The following is a 22,073-nucleotide window of genomic DNA, read 5'->3' as shown; positions in this document are numbered from 1 at the left end:
CTTTCTCTAACTGGTGAGTATGAACTCTGGAGCCAGATTATCTGGGTCTAAATGCTAAGTCTGCCAGTTACTCATTTTTAGACCTACCTCAAGTTACTTAATTTCCGAATGCCTTGGTTTTCTCATTCGTAATACTGCTATTTACCTTATAGAGTTGTAAATGTGAAGCAATTTAATATGTATAAACATGCTTAGAAATCTGCTTGACATTTAGTAAGCATATATGTGTTCATTGCTAATATTAATTTGTTACTATTATGAGGTCAGAGAAGGTCTCTTCAGATTCCATTTGTCCAGACACCTGTTAGCTCGACAGATACTTGGTGAAAGGGTAGAAAAGATGAGGAGTCATTGAACAGTCTTGCTTGAATGAAAGCAATGGTATTCTGTCAGTAGGTTTCATTTTACATTTTTTGGGTTTTAGATAGGAAAAAGGAAATATGACTTTGATTCTTCGGAGGTGCTTCAGGGACTGGACTTTTTTGGAAACAAGAAGTCTGTCCCAGGTGTGTGTGGAGCATCACAAACACATCAGAAGCCCCAAAATGGAGAGAAAAAAGAAGAGAGCCTAACTGAAAGGAAGAGGGAGCAGAGCAAGAAAAAAAGGAAGACGATGACTTCAGGTTAGTGTTTGATTTCTGTCATGTTTTTTCTCTTTAATTTTTTTCAGTTATAAAAATAATACAGGCTTATGGCTACAAGTCAGACAATAAGGTCATTTGTCAGCTGATGGCACTCAGGTTGTTTCCAGGTATTTGTCATTAGAAATATTGTTACAGCAAAGGTAATTTTAAGTAAAGATATTTATACATAAATCCTTTTGTACAGGTACTGTTATTTCTGCAGAATACCATCCGAAAAGTAGCATCATATGGTGAAAGGGTATGTACCCTTTCTCTGAAAAATACTACAAAGTGACTTCCCAAGTCCTTGTCAGTGCTGAATATTATTGGTGTTAATTTTTTTGCCAAGCTAATGAATGAAACTTTTTTTTTTTGAGACAGAGTCTCACTCTGTCTCCAGGCTGGAGTGCAGTGGCGCGATCTCGGCTCACTGCAACCTCTGCCTCCTGGGTTCAAGCAATTCTCCTGCCTCAGCCTCCTGAGTAGCTGGGACTACAGGTGCGTGTCACCACGCCTAGCTAATTTTTGTATTTTTAGTAGAGATGGGGTTTCACCATGTTGGCCACGATGGCCTGGATCACTTGACCTCGTGATCCGCCCGCTTTGGCCCCCCAAAGTGCCGGGATTACAGGCCTGAACCACCGCGCCCTGCCTGAAACAATTTTATATTTTACTGATAACTGGTGAGGTCGAGCATTTTTTTTTTTTTGAGATGAGTCTCGCTTTGTTGCCCAGTCTGTGGTGCAGTGGTGCAATCTCGGCTCACTGCAAGCTCCGCCTCCTGGGTTCACGTCATTCTCCTGCCTCAGCCTCCCAAGTACCTGGGACTACAGGTGCCTGCCACCACACCTGGCTAATTTTTTGTATTTTTAGTAGAGACCAGGTTTCATCGTGTTAGCCAGGATGGTCTCGATCTCCTGACCTTGTGATCCACCCTCCTCCGCCTCCGCCTCCGCCTCCTAAAGTGCTGGGATTACAGGCGTGAGCCACCACACCTGGCTGGTCAAGCATATTTTTGTATGCTTTACTGGACATTAATATTTCACCTTTTGTGAATTGTTTCTTCTTACTCTTTGCCCATTTTGACAGAGGTTTTTGTTTTTTTGTTGTTTGTTTGTTTGCTTTTGAGACAGAGTCTCGCTCTGTTGCCCAGGCTGGAGTGCAATGGCATGTTTTCCGCTCACTGCAACCTCTGCCTCCCAGGTTCAAGTGATTCTTCTGCCTCAGGCTCCTGAGTAGCTGGGACAGGTGTGCCCCACCACGCCTGGCTAATTTTTGTATTTTTTAGTAGAGACGGGGTTTCTCCATGTTGGTCATGCTGGTCTTGAACTCCTGACCTCGTGATCTGCCCGCCTCGACCTCCCAAAGTGCTGGGATTAAAGGTGTGAGCCACCGCGCCTGGCCTTTTTTTTTTTTTTTTTTCTTGTACTGTACTCTAGGGCTGTTTATATTTTTTTAATCTATAATATTAAGTTTCCTAGTCATTTACCTTTTTTTGGTAAACACTTGAGTTATACAATGATGAAAAGTAAAGTTCCTTCCTACTGTTTCTCTCCAGTCCCCTGTTTCTCCACACGCAGCTACTGTTAATCAATTTCTTTTGTATTTTTCTGGGGACACTATTCCTATGTATTTATGCCTGACTCAAAAAAAAACAAATACTCCTCATACTTTGTTTATATACTTTGATTATTTTATATACACTCTGTTGGGAACCTCTGCTACTACCTTCCCCTTTTTTAAAAACAATGTATCTTGGAGGTTGTTTGGAATCAGTAGGAAGTACATTGCCTTGTTCATTTTAACACAGCATTGTATCCCATTGTGTGTATTGCATAATTGATTTAACAAGTTCCTGTGTGATGGATAATTATAGTTTGTTTTCACATTTTTGCTGTTGTAGTTTTGCAGTGTCATTCTACTTATCTTTGCATGTATATGTGAGTATATCTGTCCCATAAATTCTTAGAAGTGGAATTGCAGAGTTAACAAATAGATGTATCCACCAGAAACACTGCATCAGTAGGAAGTACTTTGCCTTGTTCATTGTAACACAGCATAGTAGCCCATCATACATTGTAGGGATGCCCCATGATCAATTTGACATGTTACTGTGTGGGCATTTAGTACATTGTTTGCATGCTTTTGCTGTTAAGTGCTGCAGTAAAAGTCATTCTTCCCTGGCTGCAAGGAAGTTTGATAAAACCTTTACCAATAAGAAAGACACGCCACAAACTTAGGAAAAGGATTCAAATTTTGGGCCACCAGAAATATACAGCTATGTACTGTAACCATTGTGGCAACAAATGTATTTAGGCCGTAGATCTATGATAAATGTGTAGGCATGTATCAATTTTTTTTTTTTTTTTGAGACTGAGTCTCACTCTGTGGCTGGGGCTGGAGTGCAGTGGCGCGATCTTGGCACACTGCAAGCTCTGCCTCCTGGGTTCACGCCATTCTGCTGCCTCAGCCTCCCGAGTAGCTGGGACTACAGGTGCCCGACACCACGCCCAGCTAATTTTGTTTTTGTATTTTTATTAGAGACAGGGTTTCACCATGTTAGCCAGTATGGTCTCGATCTCCTGACCTCGTGATTCACCCACCTTGGGCTCCCAAAGTGCTGGGATTACAGATGTGAGCCACCACGCCCAGCCAGGCATGTATCTATTTTTAACTGGAAAATTGAATAGCTTGTGAATTAGTAATGATTTGGGTCATTTAGTACCAACTGTCTCATAAAGGGAACAAAATTTTTTTAAAGTTATTCTACTTTGCGATGCCTTCCAGCAAGGTATGAGACTTTTCTCTTTTTGTAAATTTGTCTCTTCGTGTACGTTGTACCCTTATTGTATTACATTGTTCCCTTATCATATTACGTTCTTCTGTTTCTTCTTAATTTATTAAACCTCATATATTGAGGAAATTAGCTCTATGTCTGCCATATTATGTTTACAAATATGTTTCCAGATTGTCATATGTCACTTGTCTTATTTATTTACTTTTTGGCCTTCTGCGCATTACGTTTTTTTAAAATTCTAGGCTGGGTGCAGTGGCTCACTTCTGTAATCCCAACACTTTGGGAGGCGGAGGCGGGCTGACCACTTGAGGTCGGGAGTTTGAGACCAGCCTGGCCAACATGGTGAAACTCCGTCTCTACTAAAAATATAAAAAAATTAGCCAGATATGGTGGTGCACGCCTGTAATCCCAGCTATTTGGGAGGCTGAGGCAGGAAAATCGCTTGAACCCAGGAGGTGGAGGTTGCAGTGAGCTGAGATCATGCCTCTGCATTCCAGCCTGGGTGACAGAGCAAGACTCTGTCTCAAAAAAAAAAAAAAAAAGAAAAAAAACAACTTCCATGTTTTCTTATTTGTAGTTTCAATTTGTTATATTAAAATCTTTGACCCTGTGAAATTTTATTTGGTATAAGGAGTGAATAGGGAACTAAAATTTTTTTCAGATGTCTGAATAATTGTCTTAATAACATAATTGTCTTAATACCATATGTTGGTGTTTTATCTTATGTTGACTAATTGTCTTAATACCATATGTTGATAATCCGTGTTTTCTCTATTGGACTTTAACGCAACTTTAATTGTATACTTATTTTCCATATACATTCAAGTCTGTCTCTGGACCTCTTCTATTCTGTTTCTGTATTTGTACACCAATACTAGCTTGTTTTAAATACTATGGCCTTATATGTTATAAAATCCAGTAGAGTGGAGAGGCATACCAATATTTTAGGCAACTCAATGTTTTCTCCCTACAGTGATCTACAGAATCATTGCAATCCCAATTAGAATTCTAGCAGAATTTTTTTTGTAGAAATTTCTACTAAAGCTTTGGCTAACTTTCTTCAGACACTCTCATAATAAGCAGATACTACTCTTTGGCCTTCCAGAAAGTCAACAAGTGAAGTGCCTTGAGCATCCAAAAAACCTGTTGCTGTTGCCTTTGCTCTTGACTGGTCAACTTTTGCTTTGACTGGACCACTTCCACCTCTTGGTAGCCATTGGTTTAATTGTGCTTTGTCTTTATGATCAAACTGGTAAAACCATGTTTCATCTTCTGTTACAGTTCTTCAAAGAAATGCTTTAGGACCTTGATTCCACTTGTTTAAAATTTCTTTTGAAATCTCTGCTCTTGTCTGCAGCTGATTTGGGAGCAGTGGTTTTGGCACCCATCATATGGAAAATTTGCTCAACTAATTTTTCATTAAGAATTGGTGGGAAGAAGGCTGGGCGTGGTGGCTCATGCTTGTAATCCCAGCACTTTGGGATGCCGAGGTGGGTGGATCACCTGAGGTTAGGAGTTCGAAACCAGCCTGGCCAACATGGTGAAATCCCGTCTCTACTAAAAATACAAAATTAGCCGGGCGTGGTGGCGCATGCCTATAATCTCAGCTACCTGGGAGGCTGAGGCAGGAGAATCGCTTGAACCTGGGAGGCAGAGGTTGCAGTGAGCCGAGATCACGCCATTGCACTCCAGCCTGGGCAACAAGAGTGAAACTCGGTCTCAAAAACAAACAACAAAACAAAGAATTGGTAGGGAGGCCAGGAGCAGTGGCTCACCTATAATGCCAGTGCTTTGGGAAGCTGAGGTAGGAGGATCAGTTGAGGCCAGGAATTTTGAGACCAGCTTGGGCAACATAGCAAGACTCCATCTATACAAAAAATAGGGCCAGGAGCAGTGGCTCATGCCTATAATCCCAGTACTTTGGGAGGCTGAGGTGGGTGGATCACCTGAGGTTAGGAGTTCGAAACCAGCCTGGCCAACATGGTGAAACCCCGTCTCTACTAAAAATACAAAATTAGCCGGACGTGGTGGCGCATGCCTGTAATCTCACCTACCTGGGAGGCTAAGGCAGGAGAATCACTTGAACCTGGGAGGCGGAGGTTGCAGTGAGCCGAAGCCGAGATCACACCACTGCACTCCAGCCTGGGTGACACAGTAAGACTCCAAAAAGAAAAAAAAAAATTAGCTGCACGTGGTAGCACATGTCTGTAGTCCCAGCTACTTGGGAGGCTGAGACAGGAGGATTGCTTTAGCCCAAGAGTGTGAGGTTACAGTGAGCTGTGATCATGCCTGTATACTCTAGCCTGGCTGACAGAACAAAACCCTATCTTGAAAAAAATATATATGTGGTGTAAGCCAAACCATATATATATATTTGGGATTACAAGCATGAGCTTGTAATTGGTTATATACACTCAGATGTCTGTGGTGTTGGCTATTGTTTCTGCTGTTAATCAACAGTCCTCTTCAATTAGGGCATGAACAAGATGAATTTTTTCCTTATAAATTGATGCGGGTGGTCTGCTGCTACAGACTTCCATCTTCAATATTATCTTGTTCCTTCTTAAAACAAGTTATCCATTTGTAAACAGGTGATTTCTTTGTCCCCATAAACTTTTCATAAAGCATCAGTGATTTCACTATTCTTCTACCGAAGCTTCACTGTAAATTTGGAGTTTGTTCTTGCTTCAGTTTTAAGCAGAATTCATGTTGCTGTTTTCAAACTGCTGTCTTATCCTTCTTAGTGTCTCAGACTAGATCTAGTTCACCCGTATTGTAACAAGTTGGTATGAGTTTATTTTGGTGCAAAAAATTTTGAAATTTTTGCATAGTTTCTTCATAATACGGATTTTCCATGAACTTTTTGAAGACCCCCTTATATATAGATCAGTGAAACAGAACAGCTAGTCCACAAACCCATGCATATATGGTCAATTAGTTCTCAACAGAGGTAATAAGGTAATTCAGCGGGGAAAAGAAAGTCTTTTCGACAAACGGACTGGATCCATGGGGAAAAAAGTGAACATCAAACCTAACTTTATATTGTAAGCAAAAATTAACTTCAAATGACTCAGACTGAAGTTTTAAAACTATAAAAGTTCCAGAAGAAAACAGGAAAAAAATCTTTGTGGCCTTGAGATATGTCAAGGTTCCTTAGCACAACAACAACAAAATTCTTTAAAAAGAAAAAATTGATATATTGGACTTATCGAAACTAAAAATTTTCATTCTTCAAAAGATAACATTAAGAAAATGAAAAGGCAAGCCACAGATGGGAAAATATTTGCAAAATGTATATCAAAGGACTTGTATCTACTCACTAAAGAAGATAATACACATGGTGATAAGCACATAAAAGATACTCAACATCAGTAGCCATCAGGCAAATTAAAACCACAATACAGTACTACTACATACCCATTAGAATGGCTAAAAATAAAAAAGAGTGACCATACCAAGTATGGGCAAGGATGTACAGAAACAAGCTCTCACAGTGTTGATGGTAAAATGGTACAACCACTTTGGAAAATAGTTTGGGACTTTTTTTTTAAGTTAAACATATATTTACCATATTACCCAGCTATTCCACTTGGAATATTTACCTAAGAGACAGGAAAATATACATCTTCAGGAAGACTTGTACACAAATTTTCATAGCAACATTGCTTATAGCCAAAAGCTGGAAATGACCCAAATGTCCCTCATCAGGTGAATGATGAACTGTACATCCATTACAATGGAATACTACCTAGTAATAAAACGGTAAGTTGTTGATACATGGTGCAACATAGGTGAATTTCAAAACAACTATCTTGAGTGAAAGAAGCCAGACAAAAATTAGTACATATGACATGATTCCGTTTATATAAAATTCCAGAAAAGGCAAACTAGTCTATAGTGGCAGAAATTAGATTGGTGGTTGCCTATGCATGGAGTGATGGATTATAAGGTGTCATGAGGAAATCTGGAGAAGTGATAGAAATAACCTTGAATGTGGTGATAGTTTTTTGGGTGTGTAGATATGTCAAAACTCAGCAAATTAGATACTTTAAATATATGCAGATTATTGTATATATTTATGCCTCAGTGAAGTTGAAAAAATTAAGAAATTAGAACTAGTCTTTGCTAGTTTTAGAACTAATTTAGAAATTAGAACTAGTCTTTGCTTTGTAGAACTAGTCTTTGCTTGTTAAACTTAAAATGTTTTTAGGTTAGGCCAGGCGCGGTGGCTCACACCTGTAATCCCAAAACTTTGGGAGGCTGAGGCGGGCGGATCACGAGGTCAGGAGTTTGAGACCAGCCTGGCCAACGTGGTGAAACCCCGTCTCTACTAAAAATACAAAAATTAGCTGGACATGGTGGCATGCCTCTGTAGTCCCAGCTACTCGGGAGGCTGATAATCACCTGGGAGACAGAGGTTGCAGTGAGCCAAGATCATGCCACTGCACTCCAGCCTGGGTGACAGAGCAAGACTCCATCTCAAAAAAAAAAAAAAATTTAGGTTAGTCTTACATATTTATTCTCCCATACAAACTGTTAAGTCAGCTGATCTAGTCACCAAAACAATTCTGCCATTACTTTTAATTGGCTAGTGTTCTTCATAGATTGAGGGAGAAAGGCTATCTTTATAATACTGAGTAGTTCAAAGTATTGTGTTATGTTCATTGCTATTTATTTATTTAGAGACAGAGTCTTGCTCTGTTGCCGAGGCTGGAGTGCAGTGGCACAATCTTGGCTCACTGCAACCCCCACCTCCTGGCTTCAGGTGATTCTCCTGCCTCAGCCTCCTGAGTAACTAGGATTACAGGCACCTGCCATCATGCCTGGCTAATTTGTGTATTTTTGTAGGGACAGGGTTTCATCATGTTGTCCAGGCTGGTCTTAAACTCCTGACCTCAGGTGATCCACCCACCTTGGCCTCCCAAAGTGCTGGGATTACAGGCATGAGCCACCGCACCTGGCCGTTCATTGCTATTTTAAGTGAGATCTTTCATTATATTTATTTTTTAGTTGTTGGTTGTTTACATATAGAGAACGTGGCTGCCTTATTGAAATTTCTCATTTGGCTGGGCACGGTGGCTCACGCCTGTAATCCCAGCACTGTGAGAGGCCGAGGCGGGCGGATCACTTGAGGTCAGGTGTTTGAGACCAGCCTGGCCAAGATGGTGAAACCTCGTCTCTACTAAAAATACAAAACAAAATTAGCCGGGCATGGTGGCGGATTCCTGTAATCCCAGCTACTTGGGAGGCTGAGGCAGAGAATTTCTTGAACCAGGGAGGCAGCAGTTGCAGTGAGCCGAGATCGCACCACTGCACTTCAGCCTGGGCGACAGAGCAAGACTCTGTCTCAAACAAAAAAAAAAAAAAAAAAAGGAAAGAAATTTATCATTGTTTAAGTTGCTTTTCAATTAATCCCCTGTTGTTTTCAAGTATACTAAGTACACTGCTGAAACAGCCAACAAAGGGAAGATAGTAAGCTTCAGAACTCTGATCATACCAACACAGAACTTGCCTTTTCATTTCCATTTTTATACATCCTATTACTTTCTCTTATCTAGTTGGATCAGCTGTACTTTTTCCTTTTTTAGTGTGAAGGTATGGCTTTCTTGCTACACATACATCCAAGATTAAAACCTTTTTTCTTTTTTTTTTTTTTTGAGACAAGGTTTTTCTCTGTTACCCAGGCTGGAATGCAGTGGCATGATCACAGCTGTCTGCAGCCTCAACCTCCCAGGCTCAAATGATCCTCCCCACTCAGCCTCCTAAGTAGCTGGGACTACAGGCTTGCACCACCACCCACCCTTGACTAATTTTTAATTTTTTTTTGAAGAGACGGGTCCTCACTATGTTGCCTAGACTGTTAAAATCTTTTACTTTTTAAAAATATATTTTAGAAATTGCTTCCCAAGAAGAAGGTGCTACTATACAGTGGATGTCATCTGTAGAAGCAAAGATTGAAGACAAAAAAGTTCAGAGAGAAAGTAAACTAACTTCCGGAAAGTTGGAGAATCTCAGAAAAGAAAAGGTTAGAAAAATATTTTGGGGCCAAAAGTATATATATTTTCTGACCTAGTGACTTATTCGCTGGATTTGGGTTATTCTGTTGTTAATGTGAATATAGTTTTGTTAAGATAGAAGGTTAATTACATTCATTTAGATTTTACTTTAATGAAAACTTAAAGCAAAGTAGGCATTTGTGCTGTGGGTGAACATTTTAAAGTTTAAATTGCTGATACATATATAAAATTCTTGACCTGCTCAAGTTTCAAGATTGATAGTATGTTTAGAATTAAATTTTTAAAATTTCGTAACTGCTTTCGATAAACAAACAAAATTTGGCTCCCTTTCTTCTCTGTTGAGCTCACCGGTTTAGAAGGATTTCCTCTGACACAGATTAGAGGGTTAGAATTCTTAAGAAAGGTATTTTATGACTTGGGAATAAGAGGAGTAGGATATGGAAGAAACAACAAATATACCTTTTTTGTGTCTGCTGTACACCTGCCGTATTCCTGATGGAGAGGTGTATTCAGCTCACTTCAGGGATTACTATGGCAATGCTTCAGTAACCCAGAAACCAGAATTTGGCTGTCTCTGGTCCAGAGAATGGGGAAACAAACCAAATCAACACTACTAGACTCCACTTTTTGGCACTCAGTTTTAATAATCAGAGTTTTAGGGTAAATCATCAAAAAGCAATGATACTTGTATGTTAACCACCATATTAAAATAGTAGATGGGTTCAATGCCTGCCTTCTAAGAAGTTTATTTAAGGTTAGAAGTTATGACTATGACAATAACACATTAATATGAAGAAAGCATAGACATTTTATGAAGGTTTTCTATGAAAGGGCATGAAATGTACCTAATATCTGTGATGTTTTGATTCTTGGATTTAACCAAAAAGTTTCATATGCTGCTAAAGGTTATCCCAGAAACTGTTAATGTTGCTTTATAACATCTGAGAATGTATTTATTTGGCCATATCCATGGTGGCCTCTTTACTTCACTTTTCAGATAAACTTCTTGCGGAATAAACACAAAATTCACGTCCAAGGAACCGATCTTCCTGACCCAATTGCTACATTTCAGCAACTTGACCAGGAATATAAAATCAATTCTCGACTACTTCAGAACATTCTAGATGCAGGTTTCCAAATGCCTACGCCAATCCAAATGCAAGCCATCCCAGTTATGCTGCATGTGAGTATGAAGATCTAGAATGCCTGTAACATTCCTTCCTCTGTGTGTTTGCTCATTCTCTTCCCTCTCTTCTTGAACTCTTTCTTTCCACCTTATCTCCCCTGTTAAAATCCTTCACTTCCTTTTAAGGTTCATCAAATGCCTGTGCCTCCATAAAAGTTGTCTTGATCACTCCATCTAGATGTGATCTTCTTCCTTTTCTAGTACCCTTTCCCCCACACTGCAGTTCTTCCATGGTATTTGGTGTGTTCTTTTCCTTGCAACATTTATTTTACATTTTAAACTACTTTGTATTCGCACCAATCATATTTATCTTTTTCATTTTACTAGTGTGTAACCCCTTGGAGAATGGGGATTATGTTCTATTCATTCATACATTCATTATTTAGTTTATAATGCCCAGGAACTACTCCAGAAATACAAATGCTTTCTAAAGTTCTTGTACATAAACTGACTTATTTTTCCGAATACTTTTTATTATTAAAGTATACTTTACATACAATAAAATGCATAGATTTTTAAGTGCCCAGTTTAGTGAGTTTCAGCAATGCATGCCCTGTGTAACCACTATTCCAGTGAAGATAGAGAACATATGTATTACCCCAGACAATTTTCTTGTGCCCTTTCCATTCAGTCCTCACCCTGCCCCTGCTCAGAGGCAACTGCTATTCTGATTTCTACTGCTGTATATTCCTTTTGCCTCTTCTAGAGTTTTATATGAGTGGAATCACACATTAATCTTTTATTTCTGGTTTCTTTCACTTTGCGTAATGCTTTGAGATTCTTCTGTATTACATAGAGCAATAGTTTGTTACCAAGTAGTATTATGTTGTATGAATATACCACAATTTGTTATCCAGTCACTTGTTGATAGAGGTATGGATTAACTTAGGTTTTCGGACGTTAAGTTTTTCTGAGGTTTGTTTCTGTAGCAATAAGAGTTGGGTTTTTTCCCCATGTAACCGAGATGGCCTTCAGTTCTGGTTTCCAAAGGATATAAGATACCTTTTCATCTCTATACTAGTCCTTTTCATTTTCTTTGAGAGATGAAATGAGAATACATTCATACATTTAAATGATGCTGTTGACTTATGTTATAGTAAATTTGCTTTTAATTTTTGTTTAAGATTGTTTCTGTCATGGCTTTAGCTTAAAGCTTAAAAAATCACAGTGGGCCAGGTGCGGTGGCTCACGCCTCTAATCCCAGCACTTTGGGAGACCGAGGCGGGCAGATAACGAGGTCAGGAGTTCAAGACCAGCCTGGCCAATATGGTGAAACCCTGTCTCTACTAAAAATACAAAAACTAGCTGGGCATGGTGGCGTGTGCCTGTAATCCCAGCTACTCGGGAGGCCAAGGCAGAAGAACCACTTGAACCCGGGAGGCGGAGGTTGCAGTGAGCCGAGATCTCGCCACTGCACTCCAGCCTGGGTGACAGAGTGAGACTCTGTGTCAAAAAAAAAAAAAAAAAAAACACAGTGAGTTTTTGAAAATTGTCTCCTGTAAATTACTCTGCCCTCAGGTCATTGCCATTTTTTATTTCTTCAGCCATTTTGTTGTTCAATAAAACCTTCCCTAGTGATTGAACAATACAGATACCAGGACAAAAAGTTGGTTTTATAATTTTATTTTGACAATAGTTTAGTGGAAAAGAAAAATTGAAATAATGGATATAACTTAGGTTATGGATTATCTTTGGGTTTTAGTTACCCGTATTCTTTACACTCATTCAAAGGGAATTTAAGGGCAATGCTCAGAAACTTTGTTGGGGTGATGGTGGCATGGATGGATGATGTTAGGAAAGCAGATATGACTTGAAAGATTAGATTCATTATGTAAAATTGTATTTGTTTTTTTCTATGGCTGGTAGCGTTATTTGACCAGGCTCTGAAAAATTTATGTACTTTCTTTGTAGTATTTAATATACCCTATGTTTTTAGGGTCGGGAACTTCTGGCTTCTGCTCCAACTGGATCTGGAAAAACATTAGCTTTTAGCATTCCTATTTTAATGCAGCTGAAACAACCCGCAAATAAAGGCTTCAGAGCCCTGATTATATCACCAACACGAGAACTTGCCAGCCAGGTATGACTTGTAGCTTTTGAAGAGTATGCGATTGGTTTTTACTTCAGTGATCTTTCTTATTTGAAGGTAATAAAAAGATCTTAAAAAGCAAGGCCCACGTCTTCTGTCATGGTCAAGTATCCTCTACACAGCACAGTGCTCCGGATCTTACTCCATGTGGGCAAGTCTTTTAAGTCTTTCTGTAAGTTTCTAAAACACAGTGATTTTAATATTTACACTTCTTTGGTAAATGCTTTAAGGTCTTTGAAGTTGAAAGGCTAATTAAATATAGCCCTGCTTGGACATTTATTTTTCTCATCTAAAAAAAATGAATACTCATCTTAGTTTTGGTTTTTATTTATTTATTTGTTTGTTTTTTAGCCACAGATTCTTACTCTGTTACCCAGGCTGGCATGCAGTGGTGTGATCATGGCTTACTGCAACCTCGAACTCCTGGCCTCAAGAGATCTCCCTCTTCAGCCTCTTGAGTAACTGGGACTACAGGCACATGCCACTGCGCCTGGTTAATTTTTTTCTTTTTGTAGAAACAAGGTCTCCCTATGTTACCCAGGCTGGTCTTGAACTCCTGGGTTCAAGTGATCCTCCCACCTTGGCCTGCCAAAGTACAGGGCTTACAGGCATGAGTCATTATGCCTGACTCATCTCAGTTTGTTTTTTTTAGAAGGGAAAAGTATACAGTGATCTGTTCTACCCTCCCAATGTGCTTAATATGAAACACATATCAAGTATGAAATAGTCTTGTAATAGTACTATGTGTGTGTGTGTGTGTGTGTGTGTGTGTGTGTGTGTGTGTGTGTGTGTATTTTTTCTTGGGACAGTCATGCTCTGTGGACCAGGCTGGAGTGCAGCGGCGCCATCTCGGCTCACTGCAACCTCTGCCTCCCAGGTTCAAGTGATTCTCCTGCCTCAGCCTCCCAAGTAACTGAGATTACAGGTGCGCACCATCACACCTGGCTAATTGTTTTTGTGTTTTTAGTAGAGATGGGGTTTTACCACGTTGGCCAGGCTGGTCTGGAACTCCTGGCCTCAAGTGATCCACCCACCTTGGCCTCCCAAAGCGCTGGGATTACAGGTGTGAGCCCCCACACCCGGCCAGTAGTACTGTATTCTGAAAACAATACAAAATAGGTTAGTTTTATCTCTGGGAACTAGTTTATTCCACCTGAAGAAATTATTGAATCTTATTAGGCATTGAAGTTTCAAAATGCTGAGATTTCAGGTTAATCTACAGATTGTTATGAGTTTAATTTCAGATATTCATGGGTTGGTAATAGATTTATTTCATTAATCATGTAAAAGAGTATACATCTTGTCCAAGTATGTTAGCAGCTAATGTTTTTAATCTTTTTTTTTTTAGATTCACAGAGAGTTAATAAAAATTTCTGAGGGAACAGGATTCAGAATACACATGATCCACAAAGCAGCAGTGGCAGCCAAGAAATTTGGACCTAAATCATCTAAAAAGTTTGGTAAGGAATTCATACATGGGATGTAGATAGAGCATGTAAGGAATCTGGAAATTATAAATATCCTAATTGCTATGTAAGTGTTGTTAAAGTATAGTCATGTATGTATAAAATTTGAATTTTAGAAGAACTAAAGCGATCCCCTTCTCACTCTACTGAGAAGTTATACATAAATATATACCAGTAGTTCTCAAATAGAGACAATCTTGCCCCCCACCTTTCACCACAGGGACATTTGGCAATAATTTGGAGACATTTGTAGTTGTCACAACTGGGGAGAAGTGCTACTAGCCTGTAGTTACTAGCCTATAGCCAAGGATGTTGTTAAACATTCTGCGGTGCACAGGACAGTCCCCTGCAACGAACACTTAGTGGCCCAAAGTGGTAACAGTGCTGAGGCTAAAAAATTCTGATTTATACCATTGATTTTTAATCTGCCATGGAAATACTCTGGCAGACAGGAATGGCATGCATAGCTGGGTGCAGTGGCTCACACCTGTAATCTTCTCCATACCTATAGCTATGGAGAAGCTGAGGTGGGAGGATTGCTTGAGGCCAGGAGTTTGGGACCAGCCTTGGCAACATAGCGAGACTCCATCTCTAAAAGAAATTTTTTAAATAAAAAAAAATTAGCCAGGCATGGTGGTGCATGCCTGTAGTCCTAGCTACTTGGGAGTCTGAGGTGGGAAGATCACTTGAGCGCAGGAGTTCAAGGCTGCCATGAGCTATGATTGCACCACTGTACTCCAGCCTGAGCAACAGAGTGAGACTCCATCTTAAAAAAAACAAAAAGAACGGCTTACATCCTCACCCTTATATCAGCCAGAGAATCTGCTTTCATTTTTTTTTTTTTTCTTTTTGTTTTTTGACATTGTCCACTTGGAGATAAGCTTTCATCTGTTTTGTTTTGTTTAAATCTTGGGCCTCTGCATAAAATTCCATGTAAAAAAAATGATTTTCCTGGGGGAAAAAAAGATTTGAAAATTAAATTGTTCTTTCCTCTTAGAAATTGAGAAGAGGCTGGGTATTGTGGCTCATGCCTGTAATCCGGCATTTTGGGAGGCTGAGGCAGGGAGATTGCTTGAGCCCAGGAATTCGAGACCAGCCTGGACAGCATAGGGAGACCCTGTTTCTACAAAAATAAAAGTAAAAAAAAAATTTACCATCTCTACTAAAAATACAAAAAATTAGCTGGGCGTGGTGGCGGGCGCCTGTAGTCCCAGCTAGTGGTAGTCCCAGCTACTCGGGAGTGAGAATGGCGTGAACCCGGGAGGCAGAGCTTGCAGTGAGCCGAGGTTGTGCCACTGCACTCCAGCCTGGGCGACAGAGCTAGACTGTCTCAAAAAAATAATAGTAATAAATAAAAATTAGCCAGGTGCAGTGGCATGTGCCTGTAGTCCCAGCTACTCAGAATGCTGATGCCAGAAGATCTCTTGAGCCCAAGAGTTTGAAGTTGCATGCAGTGAGCTATGATCACACATTGTACTCCATCCAGGCTGGGTGACAGAGCAAGACCCTGTCTCAAAAAGAAAGAGAAAGCTGCTCAGATATATTAAAAGGAAAGTAGGGATATAATAGTTTTGTGTTGTTGGCTATGACTACTTCCCACTTCAGGTTATTAACTGAAGTTGAGGAGGCTTAATTCCTAGTTCAAGAGGGATAAATCCTGTTTTTGCAATTTCTACCATTTGTTTTTCCTATAGATATTCTTGTGACTACTCCAAATCGACTAATCTATTTATTAAAGCAAGATCCCCCCGGAATCGACCTAGCAAGGTATAGATGATATTTTCATGTCTTTCGTGTGTATTTTTAATTTAGTTAATTATATTTTGTCCTCTATTGCTTGTATTTTTTGTCTTTGGAGCTTGCTGTTTGCCACCTTCAGTCAGTGTTGGCACTGAGAATAATGGTTTTTTAAAAAAATTCATAGAAAAGAAATGGAACCTCGTATCTTTGAGGCTATTGGAATAGGTACATTAAGCTATGTTTATCTTCCTTTTACCTTTTTCCTGCTGTGTTAGTCCGTTTTCATGCTGCTCTAAACAGCTACCTGAGACTGGGTAATTTATAAAGAACGGAAGGTTTAATTGACCCACAAGTCAGGGCATGACTGGGGAGGCCTTAGGAAACTTACGGTCATGGCAGAAGGGGAAGCAAGACATATCTTACATGGTGGCAGATGGGGAAGAGAGAGAGAGAGTGCCCCCATGAGCCGGTCACCTCCCACCAGGTCCCTCCCTCAACACGTGAGGATTACAATTCGAGATGAGATTTGGGTGGGGATACACAGCCAAACCATGACACCTGCTTGTGTTTCTTATTTTTTTTTTTTGGTATGATAAAGTGGATCTGAGAAGCAGCATTATAGTTTGACTTCCTCATGTGTCCACTGTCCCCACAGTTTAGTGAAGTGTCTTGGATCTTTCAGTTCAGTATCCACAAGTTGTTTTGTTATTTCTTAGTGTTGAGTGGCTTGTAGTAGACGAATCAGATAAACTGTTTGAAGATGGCAAAACTGGGTTCAGAGACCAGCTGGCTTCCATTTTCCTGGCCTGCACATCCCACAAGGTCCGAAGAGCTATGTTCAGTGCAACTTTTGCATATGATGTTGAACAGTGGTGCAAACTCAACCTGGACAATGTCATCAGTGTGTCCATTGGAGCAAGGTATTTAATTGTTTCTCAACATTATCACACTGATTTTTTTTTTAAATACAAGTCTTTTTTAAAGACTGAAGGAGATAGGTTTCTTGGCCTGAGACTAGCAAGGGAGAGAGTTTTACTGATTGAAATGTGTTCTTTTAAGCCAAGATTGTTTAAGGATTTTCTATTTTAGAGTAATCTAAAAGAAGGTTTTTACATTGTCATATTAACATTCCTGTCATCATGCTTTTAGGTGTTTTTTTCCATCCACAGAGTATAACATGAGCTCTGTGGCCACCTAGAAGATTTAGTTTCTTTGATGGCTTAAATAAGTGGACCACAGAGGAAGAACCTGATGTCACTGAGCCACTTGATATATATTTCCTTTTAAAAAATATTTTGGGGAGCATTTTATGCTAAATAAATGCTCAGTGACAGAAAAAAGTTTAAAGAAATTATGATACTGCTACCTGATGGATTATTATGTAACCCCTGAAATGATGTAGGAAGACTGTAGCTATATGAAAAAGTGTTTGTAGTACCATATTAAGTGAAAAAGTAGCCAATGGAACAGTAAAGAATACCCTATTTTAAACCTAAAATTCCTGTTTATAAGAAGAAAGCAAGGTTGGGTACGGTGCCTCACACCTGTAATCACAGCACTTTGGGAGGCAGAGGCAGGTAGATCGCCTGAGGTCAGGAGTTCGAGACCAGCCTGACCAACATGGCGAAACCCCATCTCTTCCAAAAATACAAAAATGGGTGTGTGCCTGTAATCCCAGCTACTTGGGAGGCTGAGGCAGGAGTATTGCTTGAGCTTGGGAGGTGGAGGTTGCAGTGGGCCGAGATCGCCCCACTGCACTCCAGCCTGGGTGACAGAGTGAGATTCCATCTTGAAAAACAAAAAAAACAGGAAAGCAGAATGAATTCACCATAAACATAATTTCAATGGGAAATTAAACATATTTAAATATGGTTAATGTATATTTAAATATATTTAGATAAAAATAATTAAATGGGAAAAATATTTATGATACAACACAGTACATTGTAACATCTTACAGAGTATTAATAAAGTCTTAATATATCTCACCCCTAACTGTTGGTCTATAAATAAATCTTTGCTAATCATTATGAAAAATGTTTAACCATGTGTAATAACAACCTTAAAAATATTTTTATTATTTTACTCAATAATTTTACAGTTAGAAATTTTTTATAACTAATCAAATACCTGAAAATTTATGACTGAAACATAAGTTTTAATGGGTGGCATTTCAAGATATTTTTAAAATTAGAAGAAAGCATTTAAAAATAACAATTTTGTCTTCAAGTTAAAGTATAAATAATTCAGTACTTATTAATATTGACAGTGGAAAAATTGATTTTGTTGGAGTTGTGTGTAAATTTTTTCATTTATTTAGAGTTCAGGGGAAAAAGCAAAAATTAACTCTTACAAACTACAAGGTATATTTTCTTCCCAGGAATTCTGCAGTAGAAACTGTAGAACAAGAGCTTCTCTTTGTTGGATCTGAGACCGGAAAACTTCTGGCCGTGAGAGAACTTGTTAAAAAGGTATATTTGTATTACCTTCTTGAATTTTGGTAAAGTTTGCCAAGTCTTATATTACTAGTGGGAGGCTATTACAGTGGTAGCACTGTATCATCATCATCTTGGCTCGTATTCAGTAATCCATTGGTAAATTGATAAGAAAGTACATTGTGCTAACTATATGATCATCCTGCATCGTATTTAGTAATCTAGGAGTAAATGGTTAAGAAGCGTGTTGTCCCAGCTCTTATCCCAAGGGACAGAAGCTTGCCTCTCAGAATATGGTAAGTTGTCTTTTCGCAGCTCAGATTAGGCTAGGAAACGATCTATCTGATGCCCTGAGAATCTCATTTTTCCACATTTGCCTGCTCCATCCCTCCTCTGGTTTCTTATAGAAGAACTGGGGTGTTGTAGGACACTGAGTGGGGTTTTCTGTTTTTATCCTTTCAGTAAGAACTGAGTAGAAACCATAGTTAAAAAGTACTGAGGTGTCAGCACTGGACAATACAAGAAATCTCCTAAGCCCTGCCCCTGGAATTTAGTCTTGTTTAGAGGGATAAAATAAATACACTTGTGTAAGATAGTCTCTGATAAAGTGTCATAAAGGGCTAAAGAGTACTTTTTTAAGCATCCATATAGTCATAATGGGGCCACCAGGGTGAGCCAAATTGGTTGAGCCTTATAGAAGAAATGCTACTAAACTGATCCTTGAAGGATTTTCAGGATAAAACGTGGAGGGGAAGAGCATTGACGGCTGGGGGAGCAGCTTGAGTAAACCCTTAAGAGGTGGAAGTGAACACCATGTGTTTGAAGACTAATGAAGCAGTTACCTGTCTAAGGCAAACAGTTTATGGTATGGAATTAAAGAAAACCAGGTGGGACAGGAAAGCTGGGGTCAGGATATTTTTGAAGAATGTGACTACATAATTTTGTTTTTGTTTTTGAGATGGAGTCTCGCTCTTTCACCCAGGCTGGAGTGCGGTGGCGTCATCTTGGCTCACTGCAAGCTCTGCCTCCTGGGTTCACGCCATTCTCCTACCTCAGTCTCCCGAGTACCTGGGACTACAGGTGCCTGCCACCATGCCCGGCTAATTGTGACTACATAATTTTTAAGGAAAATTAGTTAAACAGTAATATGTAAGGTGAATTGTAATGGGAAAGATGGAAAGTAAGGAAACCAATCAGGCTTTTAAACTGGGGTAGGCAGAGATGAGGAAGAAATAAGGGCAGCAGCCTTAGTGGTGAGACATTAAGTATAGTTGGAGGCTAGAAGGGAAAAGTTTGCAAGTACCTGGTGACTATAGAATGGTTTGCTTTAGTGGTTAAGACCATGGACTCAGGAGCCAGGCTACTTGGGTAGTTCTAGCTCCACCACTATAGCTTTGCACAACTTAACCTCTCTTCCACATTTTCCTTGTCTGTAAAATGGGATAATAATATCTACCTCATAGAGCTGTTTTACTATTAATTCATTAGTACAAGCATAGTACTTATTATATAATAGTGCTTGGCACATAGTAAATGCTAAATGTATTTTATTAATATTCTTAAGAGAATCATTTGGTACTAGGAAATTTAAGGTTTTCCAGGATATTCCTTGGAGATTATACACCAGAGGTTTTCAGCCATGTTTGAGCTTTGGGAGGTCTGCAAACCCTCTAAAATTATACGTAAGATTTTTGTGTGAATGAGTAGTTACTTATTAGAAAGTTTCTTAGCTTTCATTAGATTCCAAAAGAGATGTTTAAGCCATCATAAAAAGGCTAAGAAACTCGGCCAGGCGTGGTGGCTCACCGGTGTAATCCCAGCACTTTGGGAGGCCGAAGCGGGCGGATCATCAGGTCAGCAGTTCGAGACCAGCCTGACCAACATGGTGAAACCCCATCTCTACTAAAAATACAAAAAAGTTAGCCAGGCGTGGTGGTGCACACCTGTAATCCCAGCTACTCAGGAGGCTGAGGCAGGAGAATCGCTTGAACCTGGGAGGCAGAGGTTGCAGTGAGCCAAGATTGCACCACTGTATTCCAGCCTGGGCAACATAGCAAGACTCTGTCTCAAAAAAAAAAGAAAAAAAAAGGCTAAGAAACTCTAATATGAACGGTTAAAAAGATAGCTGGTTTGAGAGAGAGTAAGGGTTTGATAGTGTAAATGTAAAAATAATTTGTTTAGATTCACAGACATCAGATGTAGTAAAAAAAAAATGTTTACTTAGAGATAGTAGTAGAGATTCAACTCAGTAAAATAAAGATTATATTGAAAGAACTGAGAACCAAGGACTAAGCTTGGGGAGAGCACCAGAGTTAGGATAAATAATGAGTTAATGAGGGATGAAGTACCACCTGTGGGGTTCAGTGTACACCATTGGGGTGATGGGTACACTAAAAGCCCAGATTTCCCCAGTATGCAATATATCTGTGTAACACAAATGCACCTGTACCCCTAAATCCATAAGAATAAAAAAATTAATTTCACCCCAAAAAACCCAGTGAATTAAAAAGATAATTATTTCATTTTAAGCAGAATAAAAAAAGGTTTTGAGGCACAGAAGTCAAGAGATGATTATTTCAAAGTTGAGGCATCTGTTACCATAGTGGGGTGTAGGGGGATTGATTAGACAACATTATTGGAATTAGCAAGATGGAGAATATATTTCAAGTTGAGTGGAAATAACCAATTGGAGAGAATGGTGACGAAGATGGAGGCAGAATTAGACCACTAGCCCAAGAAATTTGGCCAAGAAAGTACACTAAATTGAATTGGGTTCTTAAAAGCTACAATCAAATTATGAAATAATGACCAATTGTATTCTTGATTGAGTTATGTATGCCAATTTTTGTCTTCTTTTAGGGTTTCAATCCACCTGTTCTTGTTTTTGTTCAGTCCATTGAAAGGGCTAAAGAACTTTTTCATGAGCTCATATATGAAGGTATTAATGTGGATGTTATTCATGCAGAGAGAACACAACAACAGGTAAAGTCAAATATATACTTTGAAACTCAGAAGAACTACTTGATTTTAAACTATTGACATTAAATTTATGAAGTACCTGTTTTCATTCTAAAACAATTTAATATATATTCTGTTAACCAGAGAGATAACACAGTCCACAGTTTCAGAGCAGGAAAAATCTGGGTTCTGATTTGTACAGCCTTGCTAGCAAGAGGGATTGATTTTAAAGGTGTGAACTTGGTGATCAACTATGACTTTCCAACTAGCTCAGTGGAATATATCCACAGGATAGGTGAGTTGTCTTTTTTTTCCTTCCCCTCTGTCACCCACTGATCTGTCTTAGGACCCCTGCTATTCCCTGCACATATGCTCACTTCTTAGTGCTGTGAAAATCCAGTGACTTTTATAAATGAATTTTGAGAGCCTCCTTCCCCCCAAAATGTGTTTTTTAATGGTCTAATTTTTCTTAGGTCGAACTGGAAGAGCAGGGAATAAGGGAAAAGCAATTACATTTTTCACTGAGGATGATAAGCCATTATTAAGAAGGTAAATTAGAAAAAATAACCTAGTGTTATTGGCAAAATTGCTTCATTATTCTTATATGTATATTCAATTAAGAGATAATTACAAAATGGCTATGTCCCAAATTCTACTGATAATGGTGTTAGTTGACCAAATTTTAGCCATGGGAAAGGAAAAATGATCAAAAGGCCTTGTTTTTGCCCTTCCGTTATTAGAATTTGGAAATACATATTCAAA

General features: G+C 39.2%; 1 protein-coding gene across 3 annotated transcripts in view, besides 1 other annotated feature; it reads left to right on the top strand.

Annotated features, from left to right (window-relative positions):
• The window catches only part of DDX52 (DExD-box helicase 52), a 33,708-nt gene that overhangs the window by 714 nt on the left and 10,921 nt on the right, over window positions 1–22,073 (top strand). The window contains exons 2-13 of one of the 3 annotated variants that reach the window (NM_001291476.2): window positions 425–623; window positions 3,165–3,279; window positions 9,315–9,445; window positions 10,435–10,620; window positions 12,560–12,703; window positions 14,061–14,172; window positions 15,873–15,945; window positions 16,635–16,838; window positions 18,299–18,389; window positions 21,213–21,335; window positions 21,456–21,606; window positions 21,785–21,860. In NM_001291476.2, the coding sequence (NP_001278405.1) occupies window positions 9,353–9,445; window positions 10,435–10,620; window positions 12,560–12,703; window positions 14,061–14,172; window positions 15,873–15,945; window positions 16,635–16,838; window positions 18,299–18,389; window positions 21,213–21,335; window positions 21,456–21,606; window positions 21,785–21,860 (1,253 nt within the window). In that variant the 5' untranslated portion in view covers window positions 425–623; window positions 3,165–3,279; window positions 9,315–9,352. Of the gene's footprint in view, window positions 1–424; window positions 624–3,164; window positions 3,280–9,314; window positions 9,446–10,434; window positions 10,621–12,559; window positions 12,885–14,060; window positions 14,173–15,872; window positions 15,946–16,634; window positions 16,839–18,298; window positions 18,390–21,212; window positions 21,336–21,455; window positions 21,607–21,784; window positions 21,861–22,073 lie in introns of those variants that run through there. The other 2 variants (NM_007010.5, XM_011524233.4) reach the window with 2 other exon arrangements.
• Window positions 1,240–1,740: an enhancer, noted in NCBI's record as "H3K4me1 hESC enhancer chr17:36001021-36001522 (GRCh37/hg19 assembly coordinates)". NCBI's record gives its function as "activates a minimal SCP1, AML or CMV promoter by ChIP-STARR-seq in naive H9 embryonic stem cells {active_cell/tissue: H9 hESC(naive)}" and the evidence as "EXISTENCE:reporter gene assay evidence [ECO:0000049][PMID:30033119]".

This window comes from Homo sapiens, chromosome 17 (assembly GCF_000001405.40).
Source record: "Homo sapiens chromosome 17, GRCh38.p14 Primary Assembly".
Classification (NCBI taxonomy): Eukaryota; Metazoa; Chordata; class Mammalia; order Primates; family Hominidae; genus Homo; species Homo sapiens.
This window is presented reverse-complemented; position numbering and strand designations above follow the sequence as displayed.